The 14,653-nt window shown below is 38.5% G+C and overlaps 1 protein-coding gene across 6 annotated transcripts in view, besides 1 other annotated feature; it reads right to left on the reverse strand.

The window, feature by feature from the left end:
* The window catches only part of TRPC6 (transient receptor potential cation channel subfamily C member 6), a 132,444-nt gene that overhangs the window by 5,495 nt on the left and 112,296 nt on the right, over window positions 1–14,653 (reverse strand). For 5 of the 6 annotated variants that reach the window (XM_047427509.1, NM_001439335.1, NM_004621.6 and 2 more), the window contains 2 exons: window positions 14,125–14,328; window positions 12,369–12,443 (listed from right to left, as the gene is read on the reverse strand). In XM_047427509.1, the coding sequence (XP_047283465.1) occupies window positions 12,369–12,443; window positions 14,125–14,328 (279 nt within the window). The remainder of the gene's footprint in view (window positions 1–12,368; window positions 12,444–14,124; window positions 14,329–14,653) is intronic. The other variant, XM_047427510.1, reaches the window with a different exon arrangement.
* Window positions 8,666–9,349: an enhancer, noted in NCBI's record as "NANOG-H3K27ac-H3K4me1 hESC enhancer chr11:101336455-101337138 (GRCh37/hg19 assembly coordinates)". NCBI's record gives its function as "activates a minimal SCP1, AML or CMV promoter by ChIP-STARR-seq in naive H9 embryonic stem cells {active_cell/tissue: H9 hESC(naive)}" and the evidence as "EXISTENCE:reporter gene assay evidence [ECO:0000049][PMID:30033119]".

Genomic DNA, 14,653 nt, shown 5'->3' on the forward strand with positions numbered 1-14,653 from the left:
AAGTCTGCAACACGTTTGTACATAAAAGAAAATTCAATTTGAAAATTGAATAGTATTTAAAGCTTAGGGATTTGGGTATTTATAGATGGTGCCAACATGTATACTGTCATAGAGGTTGGAAGTGGGAAGCTTGTTGACTACAAGCAAGAAGGACTGGATGCAAGCTTTGTTCCTAATATGGAAATAAACACTCTCTCCAATTCTGAATGAACCACTGCCTGCCCCCTTTGTTAATACCTTCTACCACATTTTATGCATTCTTTATTCATTTTCTTTTTCATTTCCTAATAATTAGTTTGATATTAACATTTCTCATCTTGTAGGTTCATTTTAGGATTAGAGTGAGCAATACTAATAACTTGTTTCTAATTCGTTAAAAAGAACAAGTAATTTTAAGTCTTTAAAGTTTCTTATATTGCTGGATACAGGAACAGTTCATGGAGTCACCTATTTCCCACAAGCAGTAAATGTCCTGCAGCTGGGAACAGAGCAATGAACTGAAAAGGTATGGACAATATATTCAGTCAGCAGTGAATGCAGATATGAAATGAAGCTGTGTTATACAGTGCTTATAAACATATTGCTCTGAATCAAGTGGATGTTGGTTCAAATTCAGGCTCTGTCACTTGTTTGAAATGGGACTTGAGGCAAATCATTTCACCTCTATATCCTTGGGATCCTCAGATACAGAATAGGGAAAATAATATTACCTACCTTCCAGAGCTATTGCAAGAATTAAAGAGATGGGGTATAGAGAATATATAGTTTGAAATACACTGGACATTCTATAATTGTCAAGAGCTATTATTTTACAGAAAGATAAATATCTACTATGTGGCTTTAGGTCTATTTCATGGTTAACTTTAATCTACACATACCCCTTTACTTATGATGGGGTTACGTCATGATAAATCCATTGTAAGTAAGTTGAAAATGCACTTAATACACCTAACTACTGAACATCATAACTTAGCCTAGCTGACCTTAACCATACTCAGAACACTTTCCTTAGCTTACAGTTGGGCAAAAGCATCTAGCACAAAACCTATTTTATATTAAAGTTATTATACAAAATTTGAATCAACATTCAAACTTTGAAGTACAGTTTCTACTGAACACATATTGCTTTCACACCATCATAAAGGTGAAAAATCATGAAGTTGAACTCCGGTAAGTCTGGGACTGTCTGTAGTCAATTCATCCTAGAGATATTTTGCCAAATATTACTTTTTACTGATGTGCCCAAGTCCATGACTAAGTCCTTCAGGGAATGAAATAGTCAGTGATTCACGCATTCAGATGAGCATTATAACCTCCTAAGCTCTACCCTACATGGTTTAAAAACCTGCCCTAAGACGACAACTGGAATGTGATCTGTTCAGAAGGTGGAACAGGGCAGTTATTCAAGAAGTTATCTGGCATTTTGAGGTTTACACATGTAATAGACTATGGAAGAGATCAACTTTTAATTTATGCTATCCTTTCAGACTGTACATCTGAACAGCTAATGCTAGCAACCACCAAACTCAGTGACCTTTAGAGTTAAAGGATATGACTGAAGATAATGAATAGGTCTGCTTATTATCTGAAAAGCTAATGCTAGCAACCACCAGTCAGTGACCTTTAGAGTTAAAGGATACGGTCAGAGATAATGAATAAGTATGCTTACCTTGTTTCAAAATGTATTTTTATATATGGTTCATCCTACTGACATCTATGGTGCACCTGGAGCAGATGTGAAGGCAGTGTTTGTGCAGCTAACTAAATACTTTAAAATTCAAGAGGTCAGAGAGAGAAGACCTGAGTGAATCAGAAATTCACTTACCATCTTAGATATAGATGTTATGAAAAAGATTAAGCATAAGCCATATGAGTTGGGTAGGAAAGAATGAACCATGAGAGTTTTTCTTAGTATGCATACACTAGGGCCAAACCATCTCATTAGCAATGGGCAAAAATTATTTGAAATATAAATGATTGCCTTAAAAAATCTTCTCAGGAATACAGTTTAATGTATGTCGTAAAACCAAGCCATGTGAAATGTGTCTCAAGTTTTGTTCACCACAAGCTCATATGGCAGGGGAAAAGAGATACTTGTGTTGATTTAAGCCTCCAAGAATCAAATGCCAAGACTGAGTTGGAAGTATGAGATGTACCCAGGATTATACCTATGAGAGATAAAGGGAAGTGGAACGGGAGAAGGCGGAGAAATCCTCTCCACTGTGAGGCTCTGCTCACCTGTGAAAGGGGGAGAGGTAAGACGATTGTCTGGGAAAGTCAGTCAGCCCAACAGGGAACGGCACATCTCTGTAGCTGCCAGAAGACACACTTACACAAAAGGCTCTCTAGATTGTTAAACTGACAGTGGAATCAACATTTTATTCCAGACTTCACAACTGAGGTCAGACATCACAGGTTTAGTATTTCTAAAATACTAAACAGTTTGTTTTAAGCTATGATTAAAATATGTGTTATTGAAAAGTGTAACTCTCATTTACAATATATAATATACATTTTGCTGATGGTTAAATTTTAATTTTCCACATTTTTAGAGAAGCTACAGGGAAAATAAAATTATTTCATTTGATAGATACCATATTTTCTATCATAAAGAAAAGGCATTTTGATTTTATTTTAATTTTTCTCTTATCTGTCCAGTGACTTATTATACATCCTTCATGCTTTCAGGATGAGTATTTTCTTACTGGAAAAATATAAGAGCCAATTACACTGACCTATCTTTGCAAAAAATTTATTGAGATTTTTAAAACCAAATAACAACAAGAGCCATTTCTTTATAATATGAGTATATTACATTTGCGTAGTGTTTACGATTTTCAAAGTACCAATTTAATCTTTCCAATATGCTTGTGTGATGGGTTGTACAACTTGATTATTTCTGTTTTATAGATGAGGAAACTAAGGTTCAGAGAAGTTAAATGAATTGCTGAAGGGGCAGAGATGTACACTTATTATAAGATCTCAATCTTCTGAGTACTTAGTTCAATACTGTTACTCTATCAATTTCCAAAGTGCAGTTTTGATAAGGAAGGAAAAGCAGTGAATATAAAATATTGATCAAACATGGTGAATTTTATATCTTCATATTAATCCATTATATATGTTATACGTAGTCAACTGTATATTATATGAAGTCAGTACATGTACCCCTTGGTATCCATGGGGGATTGGTTCCAAGACCCTCCTTCTGAGCACACCAAAATCCACTGATGCCCAGACCCCTTATAAAAAATGGTGTACTATTTCCATATAACTTACTTACTCATAGCCACTGGTATAACTTAAATCATCTCTAGTACTTACAATGCTCGATATAATTTTATGTAACTGATAAATATTGTTATACTCTACTGTTTTTTAAATTTGTATTATTCTTATGATCATATTATTTTTGATGTTTTTATTTAATATTTTTGACCTGTAGTTGGTTGAATCTGTGAATGCAGAACATATGGACATGGAGGGTGGACTGTGTATGTGTGTGATATTTAATTGAAATGCCCTTTGCAAAACTGTAAAACAATTTTGTCATATCACACATTTTGTAGATCATAAATGGGAGTTAGGTGGAAAGGAAAAGAGCCATAACCATCTCCTTGGAATATTCAATTAAGAATCAGAAGTCTGCATTGTGAATGCACTTAATGCTCCTGAACTATATGCTTAAAAATGGTTAAAATGGTAAATTTTATGCTATATATATTTTATAACAATGAAAATAAATATAAAAAAGAAGTCAGTTGCCTGTATATGTCAACCCCAAGGGTTGCTATGAATATTTAGGTTTTGGAGAGGGACACTGTTATTCTTGAGACTAATAATTCATAACCTCTTATCCGTAAGAAAACATAATGGGCCATATTGTCAATTATAACACAACAATAACATTACTAGCTGAAATGTCACCCCTTTCTTTTTCCTTTAAGCATTTCAATATTTAAAATACATAGAGTGAAGTTAAACTGGTAAGATAGACTTAATTATATAGTGCTTGGTACACATGTTAAAAATGATTGGGACCACACAATATGTCACCAGGAATGACTGAATTCTTTTCTGAATATATCCACTAACTAGGGAAGGCTTTGAGAAATTAAATCATTTCACCTTACTCCAGTTTTCTTATGTGATATGTGCAGATAATTTACTTCACACAAACAAAAGAATTTACTAAAATGTCCTAGCAAATTATAAAATTGTTTGGGCCAGGCACGGTGGCTGATGCCTGTAATCCCAGCACTTTGGGAGGCTGAGGTAGGTGGATCACTTGAGTCCAGGAGTTTGAGTTCAACACTAGCCTGGGCAACATGGCGAAACCCCATCTCTACAGAAAATACTAAAAATTAGCCAGGCGTGGTGGTGCTCACCTGCACTCCCAGCTATTTGGGAGGTTGAGGTGGGAGGATCACCTGAGCCTGGGAGGTCCAGGCTGCAGCAAGCCATGATGGCACCAGTGCACTCCAGCCTGGGTGATAGAGACCCTGTCTCAAAAACTAAAATGAAATAAAAATAAAACGTTTTGAGTTGAATACCTTTTGGAGGTAAGCTATTTCATATTCTTTCAGTAACATTTTCCCCTTTATCTTTCTGTCTGTACACCTTTCCTTCTGTACATTCACGCATTCTTTCTTTCCACAGACATTTGCAGGTACCAAAACTATAGAAGTATTAAGGATCAGAGTTAAACTAAGACATGGGCTCTATCTTCCAGAACCCACACCTTCATCAGTTAGTTTGCCTCTTCCTGGTCTGGGAGATTGGTTAACACACCATGACCAACATGATTTCACCAAGGAAGAGGAATGGGAGGAAGAAACGGGCATGTGAGTAGCAAAATATACTTCCTACCATGTTCCTTGCTAGGTATGTTATTTCATTAATTTAATGACCCTTTGAGGCTGTAGTAATGACAAGTGAGGAAACTCACTTGGGGTCCAGTTTCAGTTTTCTGCGTATGGCTAGCCAGTTTTCCCATCACCATTAAATAGGGAATCCTTTCCCCATTGCTTGTTTTTGTCAGGTTTATCAAAGATCAGATGGTTGTAGATGTGTGGTGTTATTTCTGAGGCCTCTGTTCTGTTCCATTGGTCTATGTATCTGTTTTGGTACCAGTACCATGCTGTTTGGTTACTGTAGCCTTGTAGTATAGTTTGAAGTCAGGAGCGTGATGCCTCCAGCTTTGTTCTTTTTGCTTAGGATTGTCTAGGCTATGTGGACTCTCTTGGTTCCCTTTGAAGTTTAAAGTAGTTTTTTCCAATTCAGTGAAGAAAGTCAGTGGTAGCTTGACGAGGATAGCATTGAATCTGTAAATTACTTTGGGCAGTATGGCCATTTTCATGATATTGATTCTTCCTATCCATGAGCGTGGAACGATTTTCCATTTGTTTAAGTCGTCTCTTATTTCCTTGAGCAGTGGTTTGTAGTTCTCCTTGAAGAGGTCCTTCACATCCCTTGTAAGTTGCATTCCTAGGTATTTTATTCTCTTTGTAGCAATTGTGAATGGGAGTTCACTCATGATTTGGCTCTCTGTCTGTTATGGGTGTATAGGAATGCTTGTGATTTGTGCACATTGATTTTGTATCCTGAGACTTCGCTGAAGTTGCTTATCTGCTTATAAGGAGATTTTGGGTTGAGATGATGAGGCTTTCTAAATACACAATCATGTCATCTACAAACAGAGATAATTTGACTTCCTCTTTTCCTATTTGAATACCCTTTCTTTCTTTCTCTTGCCTGAATCCCCTTGCCAGAACTTCCAATACTACGTTAAATAGGAGTGGTGAGGGAGGACATCCTTCTCTTGTGCCGATTTTCAAAGGGAATGGTTCCAGTTTTTGCCCATTCAGTATGATATTGGCTGTGGGTTTGTCATGAATAGCTCTTATTATTTTAAGATACGTCCCATCAATACCTAGTTTATTGAGAGTTTTTAGCATGAAGCACTATTGAGTTTTGTTGAAGGCCTTTTCTGCATCTATTGAGATAATCATGTGGTTTTTGTCATTGGTTCTGTTTACGTGATGGATTACGTTTATCGATTTGCGTATGTTGAACCAGCCTTGCATCCCAGGGATGAAGCCGGCTTGATCATGGTGGATAAGCTTTTTGATGTGCTGCTGGATTCGGTTTGCCAGTATTTTATTGAGGATTTTCTCATCAATGTTCGTCAGGGATATTGGCCTGAAATTTTCTTTTTCTGTTGCGTCTCTGCTAGGTTTTTGTAACAGGATGATGCTGACCTCATAAAATGAGTTAGGGAGCATTCCCTCTTTTTCTATTGTTTGGAATAGTTTCAGAAGGAATGGTACCAGCTCCTCTTTGTACCTCTGGTAGAATCTGGCTATGAATCTATCTGGTCCTGGACTTTTTTTGGTTGGTACGCTATTATTACTGCCTCAATTCCAGAACTTGTTATTGGTCTATTCAGGGATTCAACTTCTTCCTGGTTTAGTCTTGAGAGGGTGTATGTGTCCAGGAATTTATCCATTTCTTCTAGATTTTCTAGCTTATTTGTGTAGAGGTGTTTATAGTATTCTCTGATGGCAGTTTGTATTTCTGTGGGATCAGTGGTGATATCCCCTATATCATTTTTTATTGCATCTATTTGATTCTTCTCTCTTTTCTTCTTTATTAGCCTGGCTAGTGGTCTATTTTGTTGATCCTTTCAAAAAACCAGCTCCTGCATTCACTGATTTTTTTGAAGGGTTTTTAGTGTCTCTAGCTCCTTCAGTTCTGCTCTGATCTTAGTTATTTCTTGTATTCTACTAGCTTTTGAATTTGTTTGCTCTTGTTTCTCTAGTTCTTCTAATTTTGATGTTAGGGTGTCAATTTTAGATCATTCCTGCCTTCTCTTGTGGGCATTTAGTGCTATAAATTTCCCTCTAAACACTGTTTTAAATGTTTCCCATAGATTCTAGTACCTTGTGTCTTTGTTCTCATTGGTTTCAAAGGACATCTTTATTTCTGCCTTCATTTCATTGTTTACCCAGTAGTCATTCAGGAGCAGGTTGTTCAGTTTCTATGTAGTTGTGCGGTTTTGAGTTAATTTCTTAATTTGACTGCACTGTGGTCTGAGAGACCATTTTTTATGATTTCTGTTCTTTTGCATTTGCTGAGGAGTGTTTTACTTCCAATTACGTGGTCAGTTTTAGAATAAGTGCAATGTGGTGCTGAGAAGAATGTATATTCTGTTGATTTGGGGTGGAGAGTTCTGTAGATGTCTATTAGGTCTGCTTGGTGCAGAGCTGAGTTGAAGTCCCTAATATCTTTAATTTTCTGTCTTGTTGATCTGTCTAATATTGAGATTGGGATGTTAGAGTCTCTCACTATTATTGTGTGGGAGTCTGAGTCTCTTTGTAGGCCTCTAAGAACTTGGTTTATGAATCTGGGTGCTCCTGTATTGAGTGCATGTATATTTAGGATAGTTAGGTCTCTTGTTGCATTGATCCCTTTACCATTATGTAATGCCCTTCATTGTCTTTTGTTCTTTGTTGGTTTAAAGTCTGCTTTATCAGAGACTAGGATTGCAACACCTGCTTTTTTTTTCTTGCTTTCCATTTGCTTGGTAAATATTCCTCCATCCCTTTATTTTGAGCCTATGTGTGTCTTTGCATGTGAGATGGGTCTCCTGAATACAGCATGCTGATGGGTCTTGACTCTTTAGCCAATATGCCAGTCTGTGTCTTTTAATTGGGGCATTTAGCCTGTTTACATTTAAGGTTAATATTGTTATACGTGAATTTGATCCTGTCATTATGATACTAGCTGGTTATTGTGCCTGTTAGTTGATGTAGTTTCTTCATAGTGTCGATGGTCTTTACAATTTGGTATGTTTTTGCAGCAGCTTGTACCGGTTTTTCCTTTCCATACTTAGTGCTTCCTTCAGGAACTCTTGTAAGGCAGGCCTGGTGGTGACAAAATCTCTCAGCATTTGCTTGTCTGTAAAGGATTTTATTTCTCCTTCACTTGTGAAGCTTAGTTTGGTTATGAAATTCTGGGTTGCAAATTATTTTCTTTAAGGATGTTGAATATTGGTCCCCACTCTCTTCTGGCTTGTAGGGTTTCTGCAGAGAGATCTGCTGTTAGTCTGATGGGCTTGCCTTTGTGGGTAACCCAATCTTTCTCTCTGGCTGCCCTTAAGTTTTTTCCTTCATTTCAACCTTGGTGAATCTGATGATTATGTGTCTTGGGGTTGCTCTTCTCAAGGAGTATCTTTGTGGTGGTCTTTGTATTTCCTGAATTTGAATGTTGGCCTGTCTTACTGGGTTGGGGAATTTCTCCTGGATAATATCCTGAAGAGTGTCTTCCTATTTGGTTCCATTCTCCCCGTCACCTTCTGGTACACTAATCTAATGTAGGTTTGGTCTTTCCACGTAGTCCCATATTTCTTGGAGGCTTTGTTCATTCCTTTTCATTCTTTTTTTTCTAATCTTGTTTTCATGTTTTATTTCAGTAAGTTGATCTTCAATCTCTGATATCCTTTCTTTGGCTTGTTCGATTTATCTGTTGATACTTGTGTATGCTTCACAAAGTTTTCGTGCTGTGTTTTTCAGCTCCATCAGGTCATATATGTTCTTCTTTAAACTGGTTATTCTAGTTAGAACTTTCTCTAACCTTTTTTCAAGGTTCTTAGTTTTTTCGCACCAGGTGAGAATATGTTCTTTTAGCTCAGAGGAGTTTGTTATTACCCACCTTCTGAAGCCTACTCCTGTCAATTTGTCAAACTCATTCTCCGTCTGGTTTTGTTCCCTTGGTGGTGGGGAGTTGTGATCCTTTGGAGGTGAAGAGGCATTCTGGTTTTTGGAATTTTCAGCCTTTTTGCACTGGTTTCTCACCATCTTGTTTCTCACCATCTTTGTGGATTTATCTACCTTTCGTCTTTGATGTTGGTGACCTCTGATGGGGTCTCTTGAGTGGACGTGCTATTCCTTTGTTAGTTTTCCTTCTAATCGTCAGGCCCCTCTGCTACAAGTCTGCTGGAGGTCCACTCCAGACCCTGTTTGCCTGGGTATCACCAGCAGAGGCTGCAGAACAGCAAAGATTGCTGCCTGTTCTTTCCTCTTGAATCTTCGTCCCAAAGGGGCACCTTCCAGGATACACAGGGGTCAGGGACCCACTTGAAGAGGCAGTCTGATCCTTAGCAGAGCTCAAACACTGTGCTGGTAGATCCGCTGCTCTTTTCAGAGCCGCCAGGCAGGGATGTTTAAGTCTGCTGAAGCTGTGCCCACAGCCGCCCCTTCCCCCAGGTGCTCTGTCCCAGGGAGATGAGGGTTTTATCTGTAAGTCCCTGACTGGGGCTACTGCCTTTCTTTCAGAGATCTGCTGCCCAGAGAGGAGAAATCTGGCAGTCTGGCCACAGTGGCCTTGCTGAGCTGCAGTGGGCTCTGCCCAGTTTGAACTTCCTGGCCGTTTTGTTTACACTGTGTGGGTAAAACTGCCTACTCAAGCCTCAGCAATAGTGGATGGCCCTGCCCCCACCAAGCTCAAGCATTCCAGGTTGATCTCAGACCACTGCTGTGCTGGCAGCGATAATTTCAAGCCAGGGGATCTTAGTTTGCTGGGCTCCGTGGGGGTGGGACCCACCGAGCCAGACCACTTGTCTCCCTGGCTTCAGCCCCCTTTCCAGGGGAGTGAATGGTTCTGTCTCACTGGTATTCCAGGCACCACTGGGGTATGGGGAAAAAACAAACAAACAAAAAAAACTCCTGCAGCTAGTTCAGTGTCTGCCCAAACAGCCGCCCAGTTTTGTGCTTGAAACCCAGGGCCCTGGTGGAGTAGGCACCAGAGGGAATCTCCTGGTCTGTGAGTTGCAAAGACCATGGGAAAAGCACAGTATCTGGGTCAGAATGCACGGTTCCTCAGGCTCAGTCCCTCATGGCTTCCCTTGGGTGGGGGAGAAATTCCCCAACCCCTTGCGATGCCCCACCCTGCTTCAGCTCGCCTTCTGTGGCCTGCACCCACTGTCCAGCCAGTCCCTATGAGATGAACTGGGTACCTCAGTTGGAAATGCAGAAATCACCTGCCTTCTGCGTCGATCTTGCTGGGAGCTGCAGACCAGAGCTGTTCCTATTCGGCCATCTTGCCAGCAATCCTGTTTTTGTTTCTTCCACTCACTACTTCATTTATTTCAAGTTATTTTTTTCTAGATATGCCCATTTATGATTTTTAACTGGACCCCTTCTTTATTTTTTGCATTCTTTTTATAGGGCTTTTAGGCCTAGTATTATTTCTCTGTCCTCACTGGATTAATATCACTACCAAATTATGTAGTATACTTACTCTTCCTGCTCTCTAGTAATAGCAATAAAAATAATAAATAGCTATTACATACCCACTATGTGCCAGGCCCTGTTGTCAGAACTTTATAGTATTAAGTAATTTAATATTCAAAAGAACATTTGGATGTTGGTGTGATTACTGCCTACATCCTGTGAACAAGTAAAGAGTCTTAATGAGACAACATTTTAAGTACAACACACACAGGCATGCATTAGAATGGCAGAAATTGCTCACAAAATATTTGAACTTAATTCCGTGTTTCCTATGTATTCTATTCATGATAACCATCATTATGAGAACATGGGTGGTAGGCTTCTTCTGTAAAGAGCCAGATAATAAATATTTTAGGACTTGTGGGCCACATATGGTCTCTCTCACATATCCTTATTTTTTTCACAACAACTATTTAGAAATGTAATTTTTTTTAAATATCTAACTCTCAGTCTGAAAACAGGCTGAAGACTAAATGTGGCCTGAGGGCTATGGCTTGTTGACCCCCATACACTAGCCTCCTAACCACTGAACTATCCTTTCTAGAGTGAAATGACTTTGTAGCTCTGTTAAATACCTTATTTTCCATTTCTTAAATTTCCTTTATTGGAATCATTTTTAAATGCAATCTAGATTCACCTGGATAGGCAAGCCAAACAAAACTTGTCTGAACAGCAAGAATGTGCCAATTTGCAATGACCCTAATCTGCTGACTCTCTTGGATGACCAGGGACGATTTCCACTTGCCTTCTTGCTGTCTTACTCTCAGCCCATGCGGCCCCATTGCTGTGGCAGGGCTCACAGAATTCATGCACAGGTCTCTCATCCACATGTTACCTCCCACTGCAGCCCTTCTCACCTGTAATATTGTTTTTTGGAATTTCTTCCCAATCAAAATTCCTAATCTTAACTAGGGCTAATGGCTTAGGGTTCCCCTTACCTAAAGCTCTCCTTTGTTTTCTGATTTGTAATGGGCGATGGTTGACATGCTAGTGGAAGGGATGGTTAGAAAGGAAGCTGGGAGGTTGGATATCAGATAGGCCTTAAGAGGATTCCTATGTTGTTGGGGGAGGTAACATAACCAGCTTAACAAAAAAATGGTCTCCCTCCTTGTCATTTGTATTCCATGGGATAGCCATATATCATAGTTCTGGTCAATGAGATATAACAACAGAAATTGTTGGGAGATTCTTCTAAAGGTGGTGGCAGATTCAGCTAGCATCCCCGACTTTTCCTTTGCCCTTACTCCTACATGCCTGAAAAGTGGGTATAATAGCTGAAAGTAAAGCTGTCCTCTTGAATCTGACTATGACAAAAAATCCAGGAGAATCACAGAAACTCCTGCCTGGTAACAGCCCCATACTGCATAAATCTGGGGAGTTAAATGAGACAGGGGAAAAGCAAATGTCTTGTTTAAACCACCATGATTTGGATTTTATATTACTATGTGTAATTGGATGCAGGTCTTACCTGATACATTGCCCTTTTCCTAATCATTCCTTTATCATTTCTTTTCAGCAACAAGCATTTATTGTGGCCCTACTATGTACAGGCCACAAAAAAGGAAACATCCTCATCGTTGAGGATTTTGCTACTCTCAGTGAAGGAGCTGATAGATCTCTAGAGTACATTGTTCATTATACACGGTGTCGACCACAATAGCCATTAAGGTCCCACAGTGCCTTTTTCCATCGCTTCTTGATTATTGACAAATTAGGAGGCACTGGGGACCATGCCTGCTCTCTACCTGAGCTGCAAAGAGTGAAGTTAATCATACCCTCCATCAGGTTCCTGACAGAATATTCCCTTCTTTATATCACCAGTCTTCTATTCCATCACCATAAGTATATATATGTGCTTAGTATATGTCTTAAATGTACATGCTATTCTTTTTTGCTTATCAAACATAGCTTATTTCTACCTCTCAATAACAGAATTGTTGAGATTTGTTAAAATAGTTGAATTATTTAATGGGTCTGTTCTCTACTTGCTAAAATTGCTTCTGAACATCTGTCCCTTTCTTTGAAAAGATAAGCCCGATCATGTGCATGACTTCATATTTTCAAATATGAGCTTACCTGTTTTTTGTCAAGTGATAATTTTGAAAGGTCTTCATGACTTCCTAAAATTCCAAGTTTCTTTTCTTCATTTATCTTTTAAAGATAGATAGTAAAATGAGTATAACTGCATAACCAATTTCACTCTTCATTCTGTATTTTAAAAGCCATTTCGTCTAATTCTCCAACAAGTTTTAATGAGAGAAACATATTCTTACGGGGTTCTTCCCTTTGCAAGTGCTTGCTTAGACATTTCCTTTGGACTCTGAATTCCCTCAGGTTGCAGTTCTAACCAGACCTGTAAACCACCCATTTAATTAAGTAAAATAAAGGAAGGGAAATTTTTGCCACTCAATCCACTGAGTTCTGTAAGTTATACTTCTGGAAGAATATCATAGATTGTATTTTTTCCAAAATTCCTACACAAATTAATCATAATCACATTTAAAGAAAGCTTTAAAATTCTCAAAGTACTTTTATATACTTATTTGAGTTGATCTTCAGGATGTAGATATAATTTTTTTCACATATTACAGTTGAGGAAACTAGAACTCAGAGAATGTGCTACTTACTTGAGCACCCTAAATAGTAAATGGGAAACAGTGCAGGAATTACAACATTTTCCTTTTATTTAATGATAGAATCTTATTGCAAGGAAACTTTATAATCATTTGGCCCAATTGCCCACTCAGTGTAAGAAGGAAAAATCTTCAATACATTCCCACTGTCAGCCATCTGGCATTTATTGACTTCTTACAATGGTGGGAGGCTCACTACTTCTAAAGGCAGCCCATTCTTCTGTTGGGCAGATTTTCTTATTAAAAGTTTGCTCTTATATCGAATTAAAATTTAACAATTTGAATTTTTGGCCCATTGCTTTTCTTCCCATTTTTGAAAAACAAGTGTACTTCCTAATTAAAGATGGAAATTACAAAGATATTTTTAGTCACTTTCAATCTTCCTTTTTCAGAAGAAACAGCCAGCTCCTTCAGTCCTCCCTCATATGACACTTTATCCATATGTGTTCCATTCTGGTCCTCCTCCTCTGGATACACCTGGTATCTCAGTGCTCCTTCTGAGTACAGAGGTCTAAATGCTCAGCAGAGATCTTTGCATAGCATAAGCCCTCACCTTCCACCTCCAGTGAGACACAAATTCCACATGTTCTCTAAACATATCTGAACATGCTGTGATCGCCCTACTGCCTCATCTAAGCACTAAATCTTTTTATTTTTTTTAAAGATTGCATCACCTTGTGGGATTACTGTTTTCAATCAATGTCCTTAGCTCTTTCTTTCTTGAACTACTTATTGCCAAGCCTGGTCTCCCAAATTCTATGTGAGCAACTGATTTCTGAACTTTTCAATGTAGAAGCTATCTAAGAGTTAATCAAGTTGCCCCGCCCCCCCCCCCTCCCCGAGTCATAACAAGCTGCTGCCGATTTACTGGGCTGTATAAATTGTAGGAAAAGTGAGGGACATGTAGCCATAACAGCAAAAAAGCAGCCCAGAATAGTTCTTCTTTCAGTACCCACTCCAGATAACATATTATTTTAGTTATATTTCATGAATTTTTCTTACATTCTTTTAAGTAGGAAATGTCCAGTGTGCTCATGTTGAACAGACACAAGCCAAAGGACTGTGCTGTGTGAAGTGACTGCATATGGGAATGAATGGATGTGTCATCAGGAACTGCTTCTCTTTAAAGGGATGTGGCATAGTGGTTACAGTAGTCACAAAATTTAAGAATACAATGATAACTTATCAAGCTAAGTTACCTTGTTCATCTCTGCATCTTCCTGGAAACCTTTTTTATGGCCCTGGAACAGCTCAGAAATCCATTTTTTAAGCTTCAGTAAGAGATAAAACAGGGACTTTGGACTCGGCACCAGATTGAAGGGTACAGGAAGTGTTCTGCCCTCCTCAAAGTAGGAAAACCAGAGTTTGGCCCTTGCAAATTTCCACTCCACATCAGCGTCATCCTATACAAATACACATGACAGTTCAGCAAGGAAATGCATAAACAGAATTACTGGGATGCTTTTAACATTGTGTAGCTAGATGGAGGACAATGCCTATAAACACTCTCAGACCCCAGTGATCGTTCCAAGATTTTTTCAAAATGTTAACATTCTATTCACATATTCTTTCTTAAATTTGTCTAAAATTTTGACAGTCTTGCAAGACTATTAATCTCCAAGTTCCCATGTGTTTATAAATACCTGATAGATATAAATGTATTTTCCTACTTTCTGAAAAATGCTATGAAAAATTATTCTCTCTTTTATTCTGAAATATACCACTCAT

The sequence above is a fragment of the Homo sapiens genome, chromosome 11 (assembly GCF_000001405.40).
Source record: "Homo sapiens chromosome 11, GRCh38.p14 Primary Assembly".
NCBI classification, from domain to species: Eukaryota; Metazoa; Chordata; class Mammalia; order Primates; family Hominidae; genus Homo; species Homo sapiens.